The sequence below is a fragment of the Homo sapiens genome, chromosome 22, assembly GCF_000001405.40.
Source record: "Homo sapiens chromosome 22, GRCh38.p14 Primary Assembly".
Lineage (NCBI taxonomy): Eukaryota > Metazoa > Chordata > Mammalia > Primates > Hominidae > Homo > Homo sapiens.
Window position 1 is genome coordinate 31,809,713 of NC_000022.11, and position 22,029 is coordinate 31,831,741.

At 44.9% G+C, this 22,029-nt stretch overlaps 1 protein-coding gene and 1 pseudogene across 41 annotated transcripts in view, besides 1 other annotated feature; one reads left to right on the forward strand and one right to left on the reverse strand.

Annotated features, from left to right (window-relative positions):
* DEPDC5 (DEP domain containing 5, GATOR1 subcomplex subunit) overlaps positions 1-22,029 on the forward strand; it is a 154,066-nt gene that overhangs the window by 55,745 nt on the left and 76,292 nt on the right. For 24 of the 41 annotated variants that reach the window (NR_157126.2, NR_157125.2, NR_146296.2 and 21 more), the window contains 5 exons: positions 809-929; positions 5,280-5,500; positions 9,310-9,513; positions 11,790-11,925; positions 12,981-13,078. Coding sequence is in view for 33 of the 41 variants with exons in the window: in NM_001364318.2 (NP_001351247.1) it covers positions 809-929; positions 5,280-5,500; positions 9,310-9,513; positions 11,790-11,925; positions 12,981-13,078 (780 nt within the window). In the remaining 8 variants the exon portion in view is untranslated. Of the gene's footprint in view, positions 1-808; positions 930-5,279; positions 5,501-5,703; positions 6,280-9,309; positions 9,514-11,789; positions 11,926-12,980; positions 13,079-21,351; positions 21,514-22,029 lie in introns of those variants that run through there. The other 17 variants (NR_110988.2, XM_047441625.1, XM_047441627.1 and 14 more) reach the window with 5 other exon arrangements.
* Positions 6,667-7,779, reverse strand: RPL17P52 (ibosomal protein L17 pseudogene 52; annotated as a pseudogene).
* Positions 19,325-20,524: an enhancer, noted in NCBI's record as "P300/CBP strongly-dependent group 1 enhancer chr22:32225023-32226222 (GRCh37/hg19 assembly coordinates)". NCBI's record gives its function as "activates an origin of replication core promoter dependent on BRD2, BRD4, P300/CBP, MED14 and CDK7 cofactors, with strong dependence on P300/CBP, by STARR-seq in HCT116 cells {active_cell/tissue: HCT116}" and the evidence as "EXISTENCE:reporter gene assay evidence [ECO:0000049][PMID:35650434]".

Consider the following 22,029-nt stretch of genomic DNA (forward strand, 5'->3'; position numbering starts at 1 on the left):
CTCACGCCTATAATCCCAGCACTTTGGGAGGCCAAGGTTGGTGGATCACCTGAGGTCAGGAGTTCAAGACCAGCCTTGCCAACATGGTGAAACCCTGTCTCTACAAAAATACAAAAAAAATTAGCTGGGTGTGATGGTGGGTGCCTGTAATCCCAGCTACTCGGGAGGCTGAGGCAGGAGAATCACTTGAACCCGGGAGGCAGAGGTTGCAGTGAGCCGAGATCATGCCATTGCACTCCAGGCTGGGTGACAGAGCAAGACTCTGTCTCAAAAAAAAAGAGCATCAGCTAACCCATGACAACAAAACTATGTGAAGTGCCATAAAAAGTTTATGGAAAAGTCAGGAGACCTGAGTTCCCTTTGTGTCATGTATGCAGGATCCCTTAATTACCTTGTATTTTTTCCCGCCATCTGCAAATTGAAAAAACCTTGTTTTTCTTTTCCATAGGCCATTTGTAGGGATCACGTAGAAAGTTTTAAACTACTAAACATATTAAGATGATTTATTTTAAGAAGGGTCACAAAAGGATGAAATGCTACCCACAGCTTGCCTTTATTTAGTGCTATACTATTTCTATGTTGCTTTGACATATACGTCATTTAGTCTCTACTTGATGAATAGGTCGTTATCCCATTTTTTCAAGGGGAGAGGGTGATCACCTGTGCCTTGCAGATTTTGGTGAAGATTATCTGAAGGCCTCTGTTTGAAATGTATTTGGATGACAATTTATATTATTTGTGTATTTCAGCTCTCAGGCATGTGTTTGAAATGTATTTGATGACAATTTATATTATTTGTGTATTTCAGCTCTCGGGAGTCCAAAAGAATCTGAGAACGCCCTTCCCATCCAAGTAGATTATGACGCCTATGACGCTCAAGTGTTCAGGCTGCCCGGCCCATCCCGGGCCCAGTGCCTCACCACCTGCAGGTTTTCTGCCAGATTCACTTGGGGGTGCATATAAAAATTGTGTAGGAAAACCTGAAGTTCAGTAGTGACCTCTAAGAGAGCAACCTTGAAAATCTTGTTTTGTTTTGTTTTGTTTCGTTTTGGTTTTTTGTTTGTTTTGTTTTGTTTTTTTGAGATGGAGTTTCGCTCTTGTTGCCCAGGCTTGAGTGCAATGGTGTGATCTCGGCTCACTGCAACCTTGACCTCCTGGGTTCAAGCGGTTCTCCTGCCTCAGCCTCACAAGTTGCTGGGATTACAGGCATGCGCCATCACGCCTGGCTAATTTTGTATTTTTAGTAGAGATGGGGTTTTTCCATGTTGGTCAGGCTGGTCTCGAACTCCCGACCTCAGGTGATCTGCCCGCCTCGACCTCCCAAAATGCTAGGATTAGAGGCGTGAGCCACTGTGCCTGGCTTGTTTTGTTTTTTGAGACGGAGTCTCACTCTGTCACCCAGGCTGGAGTGCAATGACACAATCTCTGCTCACTGCAACTTCCGCCTCCTGGGTTCAAGCGATTCTCCTGCCTCAGCCTCCTGAGTAGCTGGGATTAAAGGCACGTGCCACCACGTCCAGCTAATATTTGTGTTTTTTGTAGAGATGGGGTTTCGCCATGGTGGCCAGGCTGGTCTTGAACTTCTGGCCCCAAGTGATCCTCCTGCCTCGGCCTCCCTAAGTGCTGGGATTACAGGTGTGAGCCACCATGCCTGGCTGGTTCTTATGCTTTTCTGAGCCAAGGGAAACAATTCACAAATTCCAGAATCTTCCTCTCACTGGGCTGGCTCTATCCTTGGACACAGCGTTTAAGTTTATTATTCTGAGTGGGCATGAACTTTTCTTTCTTTAAGTCCTGCTTTTAAAAATTTGCTCTGTGGTGTTTTGGTCATATGGTAGTTGTTTTTTTTTTTTTTGAGACAGGATCTCCTTCTGTCACCCAGGCTGTAGTGCAGTGTCACGTTGACAGCTCACTGTAACCTCTGCCTCCTGGGCTCAAGTGATCCTCTTGCCTCTGCCTCCCAAGTAGCTGAGACTACAGGCATGCACCATCATGTCCAGCTAGTTTTTAATTTTTTGTAGAGATGAGGTCTCACATATTGCCAGGCTGGTCTCAAACTCCTGGCTGAAGCCATCCTCCCGCCTTAGTCTCCAAAAGTGCTGAGATTATAGGCATGAGCCACTGCACTCAGCCATGTAGTAGTTTTTAATTGTGATGTAGTTAGATCTACTCATCTATTCATTTGTGGGTCTTGTGTAAGAAAGCACTCTCTACCCCAGAGTTACAGATGTGTATTTCATATTTTCTTCAAATACTTTATAGTCTTGGCGGAATTTTTTTTTTCTTTTTTTTTCGAGATGGCGTCTTGCCCTGTCTCCTAGGCTGGAGTGCAGTGCTGCAATCTCGGCTCACTGCAGCCTCTGCCTCCTGGGTTCAAGCAATTCTCATGCCTCAGCCTCCCAAGTAACTGGGACTACAGGCATGCACCACCACACTCGGCTAATTTTTATATTTTTTAGTAGAGACAGGGTTTCACTGTGTTGGCCAGGCTGGTCTCAAACTCCTGACTTCAAGTGGCCCACACCCGCCTTGGCCTCCCAAAGTGCTGGGGTTACAGAATGAGCCACCGCACCCGGCCTCATCTTGGATTTTATGCTTATGTTTATATTATTTATGTTGACTTTCTTTTTTTGTGAATGTGTGAAACAGCTCTAGCTTATATTTTTTTCCCTGTGTACCAAATACTGTGAATCAATTTTCCATATTTCTTTTTTTTTTTTTTTTTTTTTTGAGACAGAGTCTCGCTCTGTTGCCCAGGCTGGAGTGTAGTGGCGCGATCTCGGCTCACTGCAAGCTCTGCCTCCCAGCTTCGCACCATTCTTCTGCCTCAGCCTCCCGAGTAGCTGGGACTACAGGCGCCCACCACCACGCCCAGCTAATTTTTTGTATTTTTAGTAGAGACGGGGTTTCACCGTGTTAGCCAGGATGGTCTCGATCTCCTGATCTCGTGATACGCACACCTCAGCCTCCCAAAGTGGTGGGATTACAGGCGTGAGCCACCGCGCCCGGCCAATTTTCCAGATTTCTTTCTTTTTTTTTTTTTTTGAGTTGGAGTTTTGCTCTTGTTGCCCAGGCTGGAGTGCAATGGTGTAATCTCAGCTCACCACAACCTCCGCCTCCCAGGTTCAAGCAAGTCTTGTGCCTCAGCCTCCCGAGTAGCTGGGATTACAAACATGCGCCTCCACGCCTGGCTAATTTTGTATTTTTAGTAGAGACGGGGTTTCTCAGTGTTGGTCAGGCTGGTCTCGAACTCCCGACCCCAGGTGATCCACCCACCTTGGCCTCCAAAAGTGCTAGGATTATAGGTGTGAGCCACTGCCCCCGCCAGATTTCTTAACTCTGTAGCTTTAAGCGCAACTGAGTGGAAGAATATTATGTCTCTTAATTTTGTGGCAAATGAACTTAGAGTGACCACATGATTGTTTTCTGCCCTTTTCTCTCATCCAGTCCTACCTGAGAAGGCTTAGAGCTCAGAATTAAGTGCTGTCAGCAGCCTCTCTCCTATGTGTGGATGCTGCTTAGGGGCTCAGTAAGAGCTACTTAGGGGCTTTTCTTTGTAGTCTTTAAAAATGCTCTCATAGTTCAAGATTGATTTTCTTTTTCTAATTAAAGATGACAAGACCTGGTGGTACCCAGGTTGTGTGGTCTCTGAAGGCACAAATTGTGTCTTAATTGGTGCTACCTTCACACATGGCTAAGCGTATACTGGTGTTTAAATATTTACTGTGGAAAGAACAAACATGTAGTCAGCACTTGGAATCTGTTTTCAGGCTCCGTTTAAGCTCTTACTAAAAAAATCCTTCCAGGAGGAAAGGGAGCAGCTCTGATGCCAGAAGGGCAGCCCCGTTGGTGGGCTTGCTTTTTCGTTCTGAGCTTTTGCTTCTCTATAGGGCTTCTTTCTTTTTGATCCTTCTTCCTGTTGCTTTTAGAGGTTTTCCCCTTAGGGAATTTTATGTTTTAATAAGGCTATATATATATATATATATATGCATATATAAACTTTTATTAGGAAATGTTCAGACGTGCTCAAATAGAGAATAGTATCATGAACAGTTATCACCATGTTGTCAGCCTTGTTTCATGACCTCTCCCACGTTTAAATTTTGGATGGAATATTTTAAAAACAAATCCCAGGATTGGCCGGGCACAGTGGCTCACACCTGTAATCCCAGCACTTTGGGAGGCCAAGGCAGGTGGATCACTTGAGTTCAGGAGTTTGAGACCAGGCTGACCAACGTGGTGAAACCCCGTCTCTACTAAAAATACGAAAAAAGTACCCAGGCGTGGTGGTGGGCGTCTGTAATCTCAGCTACTTGGGAGGCTGAGGCAGGAAAATCACTTGAACCCAGGATGTGGAGGCTGCAGTGAGCTGAGATCATGCCACTGCACTCCAGTCTGGGTGACAGAGTGAGACTCCGTCTCACAAAAACAAACAAACAAAACAAACCCCAGGCAGCCTCTATTTTTTTTCAATAATACATACTTCAGCGTAAGTTTCTTTCTTTTTTTACATGTTATTTATTTATTTAGTGTCACCCAGCCTGGCACAAAGCTGATTAGTATATGTTTCAACAAATAAGAACTAAAAGAAAACCCATCACGGTACCATTATCATTGGTAACAAAATTAACACTAATCCCTAAATGCCCTCTAATAGCCAGTGCATAGTCAGTTTTTTGAATTGCCTCAAAAATGTGCTTTTGCAGTTAGTTTGAAATGGGACCTAAACAAGATCCACTTTTTGCATTTGGTTATAATGCCTTTTGTGTGTGTGTGTGACAGTAGAATGTCTTGCTTTCTACATTTGGCTGATTGTTGCCTTGTAGTGTTTCAGTTTTCCTCTATTCTGCAGATTCCCTGTAAACTGGCAATTATCTCTGGAAGCTTGATTAGATTTAGATTCAAATTTGAGGGCAAGTAGACTTCTTGGGCACTATGTTCTTTCTCCCACATCACATCATACCTCTCTTCTCATTCTGTTTTTAGTGATGAGAGATTAATCAGTGGGATTAGGTGGGGTCAGCCTGGAGCAGTCCTTTCTTTACAACTATGATCCTAGGACTTTGGCTGCATAATGTCTGTCATTTCCCCCCTCTCTTATATAACATCTCAAGCTGTTAAGGGTGAAGTACCGCATACAGGTTTCCCACTTGTAGATCACACTGGGGATTTTTGTTATTGGGTTCCATGTGGCTTGGGCTGGTGATGGGTTTTAGTTTTAACTCAAGGTAGGACAGCATCCCTCGCTTGATGGTAACTTTTTGTCTCTTGCCTGGCAGATCTGTGCGAGAGCGAGAGAGTCACAGTCGAAAGAGTGCCAGCTCCTGTGATGTTTCATCCAGCCCTTCCCTACCAAGCCGCACACTGCCCACTGAGGAAGTGAGGAGCCAGGCTTCTGACGACAGCTCCCTAGGCAAGAGTGCCAACATCCTGATGATCCCACACCCCCACCTGCACCAGTATGAAGTCAGCAGCTCCTTGGGATACACCAGCACTCGAGGTAAGAGTGCTGAAGCACAGACAGAGCCAGGGACATCTTTCTTAATATAGTGGGTGACTGGAGGTGGGAGGATTGGTCAGAGGTGGGGTGTAAATCCCACATCTTAATGATTTCTTTGCCAGTGCAGTAGGTACAAATCACTTTAGCTGTTAGCTATGTATATATTATACTTCTTTTTTTTTTTTTTTTTTTTTTGGTGACAGAGCACCTAGGATAAAGTGCAGTGATGCAATCACAGCTCACCTCAGTGCGGCCTTGAACTCCTGGACTCAATCGATCCTCCCACCTCTGCCTCCCAAGTAACTGGGACTATAGCATGCCACCACACCCAGCTGATTATCATATTTTTTTTTGTAGAGGTGGGGAAGTGCAGTGATGCAATCACAGCTCACCTCAGTGCGGCCTTGAACTCCTGGACTCAATTGATCCTCCCACTTCTGCCTCCCAAGTAACTGGGACTATAGCATGCCACCACACCCAGCTGATTATCATATTTTTTTTTGTAGAGGTGGGGTTTTACCATTCCCAGGCTGGTCTTGAACTCCTGGACTCGAGGGATCCACCCATTGGCCTCCAAAAGTGCTGAGATTACAGGCATGAACCAATGTTACCGCACCCTGCCTCTATTATACTATTTTTTGTTTAGCCTTTCTTCATCCATCATTTAACTGTATGCCTTTCCATATGTTAATGGAAAGCTTTTCTTAGGCCTAGGGTCAAAAGGGTTTATTTCCTTATGATTTCCATTTGTGCCATATATAAAACAACCTCTGTCTTAATGTTGCATTTTAGTTTCTCATTTACCGGTCGGGCGCAGTGGCTCACACCTGTAATTCCAGCACTTTGGGAGGCCAAGGCGGGTGGATCACTTGAGGCCAGAAGTTTGAGACCAGCCTGGTCAACATGGTGAAACGCCGTCTCTACTCAAAATACAAAAATTAGCTAGGTGTGGTGGCGGGTGCCTGTAATCCCAGCTACTCAGGAGGCTGAGGCAGGAGAATCACTTGAACCTGGCAGGCGTAGTTGCAGTGAGCCGAGATTCCACCACTGCACTCCAGCCTGGGTGACAGAGGGAGACTCCACCTCAAAAAAAAAAAAACAAAAAACTTTTTTTTTCACTTACCTGTTTTTTTTTAACTTTTATTTGCATTGATTTTGTACCGAATTTATTCCCATACTATCAGTTTTTGTTTCTTCAGTTTCTTTCTTTTCTTTTTTTTTCTTTTCTTTTTTTCTGAGACAGAGTCTTGCTCTGTTGCCCGGGCTAGGGTACAGTGGCATGATCTCAGCTCACTGCAACCTCTGCCTCCTGGGTTCAAGTGATTCTCTTGCCTTAGCCTCCCAAGTAGCTGGGATTACAGGCACACACCACCACACCAGCTAATTTTTGTTTTTTTAGTAGAGATGGGGTTTTGCCGTGTTGGCCAGGCTGGTCTCAAACTCCTGGCCTCCAATGATCCACCCACCTCGGCCTCCCAAAGTGCTGGGATTACAGGCGTGAGCCACCATGCCTGGCCTTGGGATATCTTTTTCTTCTGTGCAATGTCCTCTTCTGGTTTAGGAATAATTTATTCCTTTTCCATGAGGATCATCTTGGTTTCGCAGGGGGAGCTCATGTATGGGTTAATCTGACCATGAGCTCTTTACATCAGGCAGCACATCTTGGGTGCTTTGTTCACCTGGACATGCTCAATGACCAGAGGATCTGCACCTGAACCCTTAAGTTCGGCATGACTGTGCATTTTTAAGCATATGTAGCAATAATTCAGTACTCTTTTTTGGCCACTGACCCCGTGTGCAGCCGTGCTGTGTGGCCTGGGACCACCTACTATCTCCATCATTGTAATGTGGAAATGGTACACATTGTTTCTGTAAAGTGACATATTTCTTTCTTTCTTTCTTTCTTTTTTTTTTGTGATGGAGTTTCACTCTTGTCCCCCAGGCTGGAGTGCAATGGCGTGATCTTGGCTCACTGCAACCTCTGCCTCCCGGGTTCAAGCAATTCTCTTGCCTCAGCCTCCCGAGTAGCTGTGATCACAGGTGCCTGCCACCATGCCTGGCTAATTTTTGTATTTTTAGTAGAGATGGGGTTTCACCATGTTGGTCAGGCTGGTCTCGAACTCCTGACCTCAGGTGATCTGCCCACCTCAGCCTCCCAAAGTGCTGGGATTACGGGCGTGAGCCACCTTGCCTGGCCAAAGTGACATCTTTCATATACTTGGTGGCTTTTTATATATGCATACCCTTGATGGCCTGAGCAGTTTCATGGGTGGTTTCTTTTATTTGTTTGTTTTGAGACAGGTTCTCACTCTGTTGCCCAGGCTGTAGTGCAGTGGTACAATATTGGCTCACTACAGCCTCAACCTCCTGGGCTCACGTGATCCTCCCACTTCAGCCTCCCAAATAGCTGGGACTACAGGTGTGCACCACCACACCCGGCTAGTTTTTAAAGTTTTTGTAGGGACGGTCTCAATCTGTTGCCCAGGCTGGTCTCGAACTCCTGGGCTCAAGTGATCCTTCCACCTTGGTCTCCCAAAGTGCTGGGATTACAGGAATAAGCTACTGTACCTGGCCTGTACTCATCTTTTTTTTTTTACTAGGTTTTTCTCTTTTATTTCCTTAATAACTAACTAGACTATGTTCTTTTTTATTTTGTAAGTTAGAGCATCAATTCATTAATTTACAATGAACAGTAAAACTTTCACAGAAATCTGAACATTCTCTTCTTTCCTGCAAAGCAACTTGAGGAATGAAATACAGTATTACAGTGTATGAGGTTCTGTGCTAGGCATTGGGTAGATAATGATGGCCAAGACAAATTCCTTGGAGTTTGCATCTGCTGGACCCACTTTTTCATCTGGGTGGTTGCTTAATGAACATGGAATACACACAAGAAGAGTTGGTTGTGGATTTCAGTTCTTTGATCCACTCAGGCATGCTGTCTCTGTCTCCATAATGGGACCTGTCTACCATTGCGCCAGACAGGTGGTGTCTAAATATCATACCATCTCCTTGCCTGGTCAAGGCTGGAGGCATCCATTTCTTCGTTATTTTTTTCTCAGTAATTTTTTTAGCATAATAACATTTTATTGCTTACTCATGTCCCAGCCCACTAAGTCAGTGGAGGGGCTACTGATCCACTCAGTCCATTCAGGAACTCAGGTTCCTTCCATCCTGGGATGCCATGATTATCAACATTGGTCTCCTGGGTTGCCACAAAGGGAAAAAGAATGCAGATCATTTGTGGAGATCATTGTGGTCCAGGCCTGGATTTGAAGCATATAATTTCTACCTGGCCAGAACTAAGTCATTTGGCTTTATTGCAAAGGGTCTGGGAACTATAGTCTTGTGTCCAGTAGGAAAATCAAATGGGTTTATAGTGAAGACATTGACTAGCTCTGCCAAGATCTGCCCTTCTGGTGACCACATAGCTATTTTTATTGTTCCTCCCTCTTAGAGAATATACTCGTTCCTTTCCCAAGGGAGACAACTCAAGTCCCATCATTCAGTCATTGCTTCCAGCTCAAAGTTCAGGATCTTCAGGCAGTGTCCTTCCCATCAGATTTGGTTGTGACTTCATTTTGCCAGTAATTTAGAACCAAAACTCCCTTCTCCCAAGTATTTAAAAGCAAACAAATGCAAACATATTTCATTTCTTTATAGTTTGACAGTTTTGCTCATTTCTCTCACTCCCTGACATTTATAATGCCCAAGATTCTTGTCAGCCTTGGTTTATCATTCTACCTAGCTCTGGTTTCACTGTGGTTCTGTGGTTTTTCTTTGTGACTCAACTCCATGATAACTGGCAGATGTCCTGGAGAACATGATGGAGCCACCACAGCGAGACTCCAGTGCACCAGGGAGGTTTCACGTTGGCAGTGCAGAATCCATGCTGCATGTTCGACCTGGTGGATACACGCCCCAGAGAGCACTGATTAACCCCTTCGCTCCCTCTCGGATGCCCATGAAGCTTACGTCCAACAGAAGGCGCTGGATGCACACTTTTCCTGTGGGTAAGTTGGTTGCTTAAGAGAGAGCCTTGGACTAGGAGCTCCTAGCCCTGGTCCTCAGTGTCGGTCACCCATGTGTCCTTGGTCAGGTGCCTCTGTTGCTCCACCTGTAAGATGGGATAACCATGCCCACTTTGGCCATCCCAGGGGTTCTTGTAAAGATCCTTGAAGATGCACTTGGGAATAGGCTTTGTAACTAATTAGCTGTATAAACCTGAGGGCTTTTTTGTTTGTTTCTGCCCTTTTTTTTTTTTTTTTCTTTTGAGACAGGGTCTCACTCTAGTTGCCTAGGCTGGAGTGCAGTGGTGCAGTCTCAGCTCACTGCAGCCTCAACCTTCAGGGCTCAGGTGATTCTCCCACCTCAGCCTCCCAAGTAGCTGGGACTGTAGGTACGTGCCACCAGGCCTGGCTAGTTTTTTGTATTTTTAGTAGAGACAGGGTTTCACCATGTTGCCTAGGCTGGTCTTGAACTCCTGGACACAAGCAATCTGCCCACCTTAACCTCCCAGAGTGCTGGGATTATAGATGTGAGCCACCGCATCCGGCCCTTTGTTTCTATTTGAGAGGAACTATGCATTGCCACCTGCTTTCTTTCCTAAGTCAGATGTCCCTCATTCTTGTTCATTCCTTCTTCTCTTAGATCTCTTGGATATTGATATCCTGTCTTGGTTACAAGGAGTTATGTTGTTTTGTTTTCTGTTAGGTCTCTCTGACAACTGAAAAAAAATTTTCCCCTGAATTCACTTTTTCCTAGTCCATTCTTTTTTATCTATATTCTGTTCTCAAGAAGATGACAGTAAGATTGTCTCAAGCTGTGGCTAAAATTAAACTTTAGCTTAATGGGCTCTTATTGAGCTGGAAAGGAACAAATGCATTAAACTCCAGGATTTTGTGTGTGTGTGTGTGTGAGACAGTGTCTCACTCTGTTACGTAGGCTGGAGTACAGTGGCGTGATCTCAGATAACTGCAACCTCTGCCTTTTGGGTTCAAACAATTCTTCTGCCTCAGCCTCCCAAGTAGCTGGGATTACAGGCATACATCACCACACCTGGCTAATTTTTGTATTTCTAGTAGAGACGGGGTTTCACCATGTTGGTCAGGCTGGTCTCAAACTCCTGATCTCAAGCAGTCCACCCACCCCGGCTTCCCAGTGTGCTGGCATTACAGGCGTGAGTCACCGTGCCTGGCCAAATTTTTATTTTATTTTTTTCATGGAAACCATCCTGCTGAATACCTGGAAATGCCTATTTTCTTTTGTACTTGCCTTTAATATTTAAAAGTTAAATAAGTGAGAAATAGATCTGAATCATTTGGCTGTAACTGGGGGGTCATGCCTAAACCCCGTTCTGCCCCCTTATCTCTGCTATAATCAGTCACACTACTTGTTTCTTTCTGTGTCCTTTCCCCTCCATTATTGTCTCCACTGGTTCCCTTCCAGGTCACTTAGAACTCTTGGTGTTTCTTCAGTGACCTTCATCTTTTCATGCTTCTGTGCTTCTCCTCCTCCCACTCTTCATGTACACTTTATTGGAACCATATTCTGCAAACAGTTTGCTTCGCTTCTTCCTCCTGTTTAGCTGGCCTTTCAGTAGCCAAGGCCCTCCTTCATCAGGGTTCCCTGTCTTCCTCATTCCTATCCTCAGAGGCTCTCTTCCTTCTTGGCTAATCTTGTGGTCTCCTGCACGTTTTGCCTCTTTCAGGTTTGGGATTTCACAGGTATCATTTCATCTACCCAGATGCCCTCTTCCTTCAATCGCTGTTAACTTTGTTGAACACTTAGCTCTACAAGTTCTCCTTTCCCAGGAAGCCTCATTTTGTAGACTTGACTAATTGTAATTTGTTTCCTACTCTGCCTTTTTTGCACTTAAACATCTTCTGCTTCTTAGAGTCACAGTTGTTACTCTCCTAGGTATTAACAGAATCATTTGGTGTTTCACTTGTATTTCCCTCTTACTGAGTTTGTGTTAGCCCTCCTGGCAAGGGGCCATGCCTCCTATACTTGTATATTTCACTGTGGCTATTCAGTTGACACACCTGAGGCAGAATATCCTAAAATATTCTTAACAGATTAGACAGGATGATAAAGGTGAGGCTCCTTAGTAGGATGGGTCCTGCTTGGAAGAGCAGATGTCCTTTGGGAGCCACCCTCTGTGGTGTGTTCTTCTTTCAATCTCACCAACATCTGTATCCCAGTAGCTGGAAAGAAGGGAGAGTATAGTTAAGTGCACAGCACTAGCTATCAGGTGGGAATGATGCTCAGTGGTTCTTTATCTGGGTAGGGCCATCCGGAGAAGCCATCCAGATCCACCACCAGACCCGACAGAATATGGCGGAGCTACAAGGCAGCGGGCAGAGGGATCCAACTCACTCCTCTGCAGAGCTGCTGGAGTTAGCATATCATGAAGCTGCTGGAAGGTGAGGATGTGCACAGGGCTCTGGAAGGTAACCTGAGAACACTCTCCAGCACCCAGGACAATGTGCAGAACAGACTATTGACAAAATGTTGTTTAGAAGACTTGAAAAGACAGTATGAGGTCAGGGCCTTCCTTTGTTGGCCAGTGGCATTCCCTTCAGTTGGTGAAGGGCAAAGCAAACATCCTGACATTTTTGCCTGAGATGTTACCTAGGCCCTGTTTTAGGTTTATTTTGAATCCAGAACACACTTTGTAAACCTCAAACGTGGGTTTTTCTAAACCTCAGTCAAAGGTGAATCCAAGAGAGGAAATTCTTTGGATTTGGAATGCTGAGACAGGAGATTCATGCTGTGTGTTTTGGGCAACCTCTCTGACTTTTGTGATTTTGGTCATTCAGAAATAAATCCCACTGTTGAGTTTAGAATAAGTTAATGCTAAGGGCAATGGAAATGAAGGCTTATGTTTATAGAAACAACTCTTTTTGAACCAATGCTCTGAATGTGTTACGAACATCCAGTGAGAGTCAGTGTAGGAGGAAAGTCATTTAAGCCTTGACAGGCGTGAGCCCGGGTTACACCTGGACTCAATATTCCTGTTGCTTTAGAAAACACTTTGCAAAATGCAGTCTTTGGCCCCTCTTTCAGTCACCTTGACACCCTAGGGGATAGATAAGGGATATGGGGAGGGCGTGACCTTCTTAACCAGATGAACTCAGGTCCATATATTCAAGCACCTCACACCCATCCTTGTTTGTAAAAGGGAGGCATAGGGCATAGGGAGGCATAGGGAGGCATAGGGCAGACAGGGCGGGTGGTCTAGCTTGGTGGTGGGAAAGCAGCAGGGGTGCCAGGGTCACAAGGAGCCGGCACTGACACACAAACTAAGCACTGTGGCCTGGTGGCTTAAGATAAGGATTCCAGTGGCTGCCAGCTTGAGTTGGCTGAATATTCAGGCCTGATTTTTATGAACCTACCTCCCACCCCCGGGATATAGGTGAGCAGGAAAAAGAGGTGATGATCTACATTAAGCCAGGTGGCTGGGCTCTGTTCTCTGCAGGCACAGCAATTCCCGCCAGCCTGGTGACGGCATGTCCTTCTTGAACTTCAGTGGAACAGAGGAGCTTTCTGTCGGCCTGCTTAGCAACAGTGGTGCAGGTAACCAATCCAAGAGGTAATAGAGTTGGGATGTTTAGATCAGGCTCACATCTGGAAATGACACAAGGGCCAGAAAAGCAGGGCCATGTCTATTTTGAGATCATTTCAGCCACACTTTTGGGTGACCTATTTAGAAACAGTGCTCTATAATGCATGGAATTAAAAATGGGCTGCACGTTAACATTTTTAGCTCAGAACATGTTGGTCAAGCCACATTTATCATCATTCTGTCACAGAGTTGTGATTGAGGGCAGCTTAGGAGCATAGTATTGAGGGCAACACCATGGACAGAGCTGGAGTGGTCTGTGCTCTAGAGGGACTTTTGGTTGTCAGGGGCAATGGGGAGCAAACCCACCTCCATAACAGGAGAGACCCAGAGGGGAGAAGTATGTGTCCAGTTTTAAGACCAGAAAAGAGAAGGATTACATAGTTGCCTAGAGAAGTGAGCATGCACCAGGGCTGGGCGCAGTGGCTCATGTCTGTAATCCTAGCACTTTGGGAGCCTGAGGTGGGTGGATCACTTGAGGTCAGGAGTTCGAGACCAGCCTGGCCAACATGGTAAAACCCCCATCTCTACCAAAAACACAAAAAGATTAGCCAGGCATGGTGATGCACACCTGTAGTCCCAGCTACTGGGAAGGCTGAAGCAGGAGAATCTCATGAACCTGGGAGGCGGAGGTTGCAGTGAGCTGAGGTTGTGCCATTGTACTCCAGCCTGGGCTGCACAGCCAGACTCCATCTCAAAAAAAAAAAAAAAAAAAAAAGAGAAGTGAGCACGCACCAAAGACTTGAAGGGTAGAATTTGGTTAGGTAGACAGTTAGAAGGTGAAGTTTCAGTGCGGGTGGGGGAAGCAGTATGAATTTGGTTTGGTATGATACTTTGGTTTTATGCTTTTTGGAAATACTTTTATATCTATTGTCTTATCACCCCAGTGGGTGATCAAAATATATTTAAGTTATTAAATATATTTTATACATGGGCAACTTAACGTCCAGAGAGGTAGAAATATTAAAGTAACCTCTCAAACCAATAGCCAGGTATCCTGACTCAGGCTGCTGTCCTCTTTTCGTGACATTGTTCAGAGTACCTTTAAGGGATAGAGTAACATGAGCTTGGATCAGTAGGGGCAGCATTTGTGGAGCCTCAGAGGACAGAGATATTGTACAAAATGAGTGTGGAAAACATTAAAACTTTAAAAAAATTGGGCTACTACGTTGTGCTTTAGTGTTCTATAAGCTAACTTGAATTTCTAAAACCTAGCTTAAGAAAGGTGTCATTGCTGGGCACAGTGGCTCACGCCTGTAATGCTCACCCTTTGGGAGGCCAGGTGGATCACCTGAGGTCAGAAGTTCGAGACCAGCCTGGCCAACGTGGTGAAACCCCATCTCTACTAAAAATACAAAAATTAGCCAGGTGTGGTGGCATATGCCTGTAATCCAAGCTACTCGGGAGGTTGAGGCAGGAGAATTGCTTGAACCTGGGAGGCGGAGGTTGCAGTGAGCTGAGATTGCGCCACTGCATTCCAGCCTGGGCGACAGAGCGAGACTTTGTCTCAAAAAGAAAAAAAAAAAGAAAGGTGTCATGAAAATGAAGTTATATCAAATTGGTTGATGATATTTTCCTTTATTCATTGGTAGGTTCATCCAGCAATATTCCTAGAGGCCTATGTCTAAGGCTAGGAATCTGGGTTGGCAGTAAGAGAATCCCTAAATGGTTATTATTTCATTTATTAATTCATTCACTTATTTTTTGGTTAACCTACTTACCAGCATTCATTTATTTTAGATGAGAAAACACATTGAATACAAATGTAGGGATAGAAAGACACTGTGCCCCTCTGTACTCAGAGGGCTGAAAATGTTACCTCTGGCTGCCAGATTATTTGTAAATACCTAGCCGGGCACTGTGGCTCACACCTGTAATCCCAGCACGTTGGGAGACCAAGGCGGGTGGATCACGAGGTCAGGAGATTGAGACCATCCTGGCTAACACAGTGAAACCTGTCTCTACCAAAAAAATACAAAAAAAAAATAAAATAACTGGGCGTGGTGGCGGGCACCTGTAGTCCCAGCTACTTGGGAGGCTGAGGCAGGAGAATGGTGTGAACCTGGGAGGTGGAGCTTGCAGTGAGCCGAGATCGTGCCACTGCACTCCAGCCTGGGCGACAGAGCAAGACTCCGTCTCAAAAAAAAAAAAAAAAAGGAAGAAAAGAAAGTACCTTTAGAGGGGCTATTGCTTTGCTATGCCAAGGAGCCATTTTTAGGAACCCAGAGTTTGAGCCTCTCAGGCTGTTTGGGGTAGAGTTGCGCCGAGGAGGGCTACTCTGGGACTCATTTGACTATACTTGAACTAGTTTCACTGGTTAACTGAAGCAGGGGGAATTACAGGTTCTGATGGTAGCAGCACCAGAATGTACCCAGGTAGTCTTGGAAGTTGTTTGGGGCCTGGGATAGCTCAGGTGGACCAGTTGATTTCCCATAAAATTTGTTTTAGAATTTTAAAATCATTTTAGGGAAAAGAAGTTTCAAAGAATCTTTATTTGGGGTGGTTGTGGAAGATTTTAACATGACACCATTGTGGAGTCCTCTGAGCTAAGGGTTCCCTGGCAGACTCAAATTGGAAAAGCATTTGCTGCAACCTGAAGCTCTGGCTCAGCCTTCTCTTTGGCTTCTGAGCTGTAGGTGTGTCCACCTGATGGACCTCTCTGCTCAGATGGCCCCCAAGTACCTCATCCTTAATGCATTGACAGCCAAACTCATGTCTCCCTGTTCCTCAGCCCATGCTTCCTCTTCCACTCCTTCTTCTGATTGGCTCCTCACCTCCGTTCTCACTGCATTGTTCAGACTCCTGTCATTTGTGGCCAGGATTATTGCAGTAGCCTTCAAAATGATCTTCCTGCTCTGTTCTCATCCCTTCTGATTCATAGTCCATACTGTCACTGATGTTTCCAGATGCAGATCTGATCAGCCACTCCTTCCCACATGTAACCCTTTCATGGCTCTTCATGGCTATAGTGCTGATCATCACCCAGCTCCTCCCTGTGGTTGTATCTTCACCTGCCTCCTCTTCCACATGGTACTGCAGGTGGAAAGAGCGCAGGCTCCAGGATCTTAGGACATGAGGCCTGACTCCACCTCATGAGCAGTGAAGCCCTCAGGCCAGTTACTACACTAATTTCTGGGTATCTCAGTGTCTTTATCATGAAGAGATTGAATTTTTTTTTTTTCTTTTTTGAGGAAGAGACTCACTCTGTCTCCCAGGCTGGAGTGCAGTGGTGCGATCTCAGCTCTCTGCAACCTCTGCCTCCCGGGTTCAAGCAATTCCCCTGCCTCAGCCTCCCAAGTAGCTGGGATTACAGGTGTGTACTACCACCCCCAGCTAATTTTTGTATTTTTAGTAGAGATGGAGTCTTGCCATGTTGGGCAGTCTGGTCTCAAACTACTGGCCTCCTGTGATCTGCCCATCTCAGCCTCCCAAAGTGCTGGGATTACAGGCATGAGCCACCACACCTGGCTGGAGATTGACTATTAAATGTGATAATCCACATAAATTCTTAGGACAGTGCTGGACATCCATGGTGAGCACTCAACAAATAGGAGCTGTTGTTGTCATTACAATAACATATTTTGTATTCCAGGCATTTCTTGTGCTCCTCAAAAGAACTGTGTCCTCGTGTTCCTTTGCATAGATAGGTTCCTCTCTATAGAATATGCTTCTTCCCTGTCTTTAACCCCTGATTCTGACTGGCAGGCATGAACTTAGTTTATTATTCAGCTGCAACAATACCTCTTCTTTGAAGCCTGCCCCGGTGGTTCCCCCTCCTTCCCATGCCCTCCCGGGGTGTGTTAGGCATGTTTCCGCACAGCTCCGTATGCATAACCCAATTGTACAACTTGGCATGTTGTGATCTCACTGCTTGTTTTCCATGTCTGTCTCCTCACTAGACTGAAAGAGCTTATCTTTATTCATTTTCTCCACTCAATGTTTAACACATTTATGGACAAATGAATTTATATTTCCAAGACCAAGTTGCCGTATGTGAGAAGAATTTGAATAACACACAATATTATTATTTAATTGGTATGCAAGTATTTAATTATACATAGTTTTTTTTTTTTTTTTTAAGAGACAGGATCTTCCTCTGTTGTCCAGGATAGAGTACAGTGGCTTGATCTCACTGCAGCCTCAACCTTTTGGGATGATGTGATCCTTTCACCTCAGCATCCCAAATAGTTGGGACTACAGGCACATACCACCACACCTGGCTTAATTATATACGTATGCTCTGAATGCTTGGCTTCTCATAGATGGTGTGGGATCCTGGGGTTGTTTTTCTAGTCAGGGTGATATTGTTAAGTGGGGTCATCTTTTCCCTTTCCCAGTCCCTTTATGTAACCTATAGCATGTGTTTTCAAAGGGGTTAGTGGCCATCAAGAGGTGATCTATAGCCACATGGGAACTGAACTCCCATCTTTGACCTTAAGCTACCTGATCAATTATGTTAATGAGCCACTGAAAGAAATTAGATAAAATTATTCAAATTTTTATAACCATATATCGGACATTAATTTGTTATAACCATATGCAAAACCAATTAATGTCAGATCTTCAGGATATATCCATAGTCTTACTTCCATCAGTCTTAGCCTGGCCTAAGGTGCCATCATCTTTTGCCTGGATGCAGTAGCGAGTTACCTGGTCTTGGGCTCCTCCCTTGCCCTTCCATATCGTTTATTTTCAACACAACAAATCAGAGTGACCTTTATAAAATAGAATTTGGATTATGAACTTCTCTGCACAAAATTTTCCAAGGGCTTCCCAGCTCACTTGGAGTAAAAGCCAAGGCATTATGGTGGCAGATAGACCCCTCATGTCATGTGGCTGCTTGTTACGCTCAGTCCTCGTCTCCTGCTTTCTCCCTCTCATTTCACTCTGGAGGTTCCCCAGATAGATCAGGCTCACTCTGAATTGCAGGTCCTTCCTCTTGTTCGCCCCTCTGCTGTGCCTTTACTCCAGAGAGCATCATGGCTAAGATCCAGATGTCTGCATTTGCCCAAGACAGTCCTGGTTTGAATTTGTGAACCCATATGACTATTAATAGTGTCCCCTTCCAGTCTCAGAGGTGTCCTGTATTGGATGATAAATGACATGGCCACCCTTCCCACAGCTCGCTCTCTCGCTTCCTTCAGGTCTTGCCTGAATTGCCATATTTTACTTCAGCACTCCCCTCCTATCCTCTCTACCTAATATTTCTCCATTGTGCCACCTGGCATGCTAGATTTTTAAATTTTGTACTTTTTTTATTGTAAGTTCCATGACTGTCAGGATTTTTGTTTTGCTCATGACTGTATTCCCAGAGCTTAAAACAGTTCCTGGTGGCTGGGCACAGTGGCTCACGCCTGTAATCCCAGCACTTTGGGAGGCCAAGGCGGGCGGATCACCTGAGGTCGGGAGTTCGAGACCAGCCTGACCAACATGGAGAAACCGCCATCTCTGCTAAAAATACAAAATTAGCCAGGCGTGGTGGCGCATGCCTGTAATCCCAGCTACTTGGGAGGCTGAGGCAGGAGAATCGCTTTGAACCCGGGAGGCGGAGGTTGCAGTGAGCCAAGGTCACGCCATTGCACTCCAGCCTAGGCAACAAGAGCAAAACTCCGTCTCAAAAAAAAAAAAAAAAAAAAAACAGTTCCTGGCACATAATAGATAGTTGAATGAATGCTAAAAATCTTCTGAAGTTAGCTTTCTCTCTACTGAAGCATGATTTAATTTTTCTCTAATGCTTTTCTTTCTTATAACCTTCTTAAACAATTAACTAGATTCCTTTTTTTCAAAGACTTGGGTAGTCTTTTTCTCCTTGCTTGGTTTTTAAGTGACTTTCCTTTCAAGCCATCCTCAGTTTTCATGGAACATGTTTTGCCTTCTTCAAACTCACTAAACTCTTACCCATTCGAGAAAAGTGTATTGAACTCTAGGCACTGTGCTAAGGCCTGAGAAGAAACAAAAACTACTAAGACACTGACTCTCCCGACCTCAAGGAGCTCTGCTTCCTCATGCACTTGGGATTCTCTTTCAAGCAATTCCCATGTGGGGTAATGACGATGAAAGGAAAGCCGTCTTGTGGGGGATTGAACTGTGAATGGTTTCAGTGTGGTTTGAACATGTGATCTCTGCTAAATGAGGATGTGCTAGATGAGGGAGTGTGCTGTGATGAAAACAACCAGGATCAGAATTCCCCCTGCCCCTCACTGGACTTTCAAGCTGAGGCTCAGGTTCTTCATCTGTGTAATGGGCATAAAGATCCTCCCCTTCCTGACTGCCTGTCCCACAGAGCGGTTGTCTGGATCAAAAGTAGGTTGGGTACATTATGGGCTAGATTACCACATAGAGTCCTTGTTTTGGGACAAGGTGGGGTCTGAATTCACAACTGGTTAACATTTCATTCATTAAAAAATCAGAGAAGACTGGCGCGGTGTCTGACGCCTGTAATCCCAGCACTTTGGGAGGCCAAGGCGGGTGGATCACTTGAAGTCAGGAGTTCGAGACCAGCCTGACCAACATGTTGAAACCCCGCCTCTACTGAAAATACAAATATTAGCTGGGCGTGGTGGCGGGCGCCTGTAATCCCAGCGACTTGGGAGGCTGAGGCAGGAGAATCGCTTGAACCCGGGAGGTGGAGGTTGCAGTGAGCCAAGATCATGCCATTGCACTCCAGCCAGGGTGATAAGAGTGAAACTCCATCCCAGGGGAAAAAAAAAATCAGAGAAAAATCCAAACAGAGAAACCTTATCTGTGACCCTACCTTCACCTCTTTGCACCATCTGCAGGCACTCAAGCGTGACTCAGTCTTTCTCCTGCATTTGGACATGATTCATATGTGAATCATGATTCACAGGAGTATCATCTCTGTGGGTTTCCCTCCCAGCCCCACAGAATTTCATTTGGAGTGTTGTTGGTGGGGACCTGGTAGCTGCAGTCTTCACTTGTTTTTCACCCTGCTGCCCAGCAGAGACAGGGCAGTTGGTGTGACTGGGCAGATAGTTTTTATCCCTCTGTATCTTTAACTGGGCACCATTTTAGAAGACTTGCTAGTAAATGTCTTCCTTTATTGGAGTTAAATCATTTTGAAAAAGAAAATAAGTGGATGCCATGTTTTCTTTCTCTTTAGTGTTGAGGCTTAGAATCTGCAACTTGATATTTGTGTTGAATATTAGGTGCATGCAGTATATTTGGCCTGAGAGCCAAAGTAAAAGTAACTCATAGCATACTGAGACTGGATGGAAGGACCTCCGTCATTTCTCCAGGCCAGGTCAGTTTTTTTTATGGGTAAGTGCTGCCTCTGTAGCCCAGAGAAGAGAAACCACTTGCCCCAGGCACAGGCTTCTAGATATGGGCTTGGAACTAGCCCTAGAGGCTCCACACTGAGTAACCTTTTTGACCTTGAGGTTTTCAGCCAGAGAACACATTCACAATTCTGAACAGATGTCAAAAGAGACAGAGCTGAGATGACTCTTACCAGCATTGGCTTCCGAAGTCTATGTCTGGCTTTGAACTTTGAGTGTGAGACTTCATTCCCAAATGTTGGGTTGGAGCAGAGCTGGCTGACCATGAGGTTTCACCTCCATCATTGCAGGCTGGTGGGACTCTTCATATGCCAACAGCAAGTCTTTATGACTGAAAATAAGACCTCAGAGAGCCAGTGGGAAAGGCAGTGTGTTGGGCTTGAATTACAAGGAAACTGTGTGTGAGTAGCTTCCTGGAAGTCCTTAAAATATTTGCTTAAAAGCATAATAGCTTCCTGGAAGTCCTGAAAATATTTGCTTTTTCGGGGTATGCGTGTACGTGTGTGTGTGTGTGTGTGTGTGTGTGTGTGTGTGTGTGTAGGTAGGTGTGTCCACTAGAGATGGCACAGATCTACTTTTGGCCTAGGATTCAAAGCTGCTCTGTTAAGTTGAACTATTTCTTTTCTTTTTTTTTTTCTTTTTTTGAACTCTTTATTAGTGTAAGAATTTGAGTTGTCTTGCAGACCAAGTCTAGAACAGGTTTTCTTTAAAAACAAAAACAGGTGATCAAATGAGCAAACTTGGCAGCCAAACCTGGGAGGTGATATGGTAACAATTCTGTTATTGCTCAGAGTGTTTTGCAAATGCCAGTTTGCCTTCATACCAGTTCTCAAGCTAAATAAGAAAATCCACCTCGTTGCTTCTTTATAATCATGCTTTATATTTGTATGAAAATGAAAGTTGTCAGCCAAGGTTTTTTTTTTTTTTTCCAGAAAATTTAGCTCCAAGTGGCTTTTGGCTATTGACAAAGAACAGATAACATTTCAACAGCTAAAAATTGGTGCCCCAGATGGATAGTCAAGAAATAGAGCATCTGTAAAGTTGAGCAGAAAGAATCTAAATTCAGGTTCCTCCTACTTACTGTGAGATCTTCAGTAAGTTGCTTAACTTCTCTGAGCCTCAGTTTCTTTATCTGTGGAAAAGGATCATACCTACCTCATATCTACTGGTGTGGGTTTGAATTAAATGAAATACTGTATTTGTCTGACTTAATACATGTATCTTCTAGTATAACGAATATTAGTTTTTAAAAATCTGCTCCAAGCAGTTCCAAAAGAAAAGTCCTAAAATTGTTTTGGCCAGGTGATGTCATCTTTATTTTTATTTTTACTGATTTATTTTTTTCAGACAGAGTCTTGCTCTGTGGCCCAGGCTGGAGTGCAGTGGTGTGATCTCAGCTCACTGCAACCTCAGCCTCCCGGGTTCAAGTGCTGCTTCTTCTGCCTCAACCTCCCGAGTAGCTGGGATTATAGGTGCCCACCACCATGCCAGGCTAATTTTTGTATTTTTAGTAGAGACGAGGTTTCACCATGTTGGCCAGGCTGGTCTCGAACTTCTGACCTTCAGTGATCCCCCCGCCTCGGCCTCCCAAAGGGTTGAGATTACAGGCG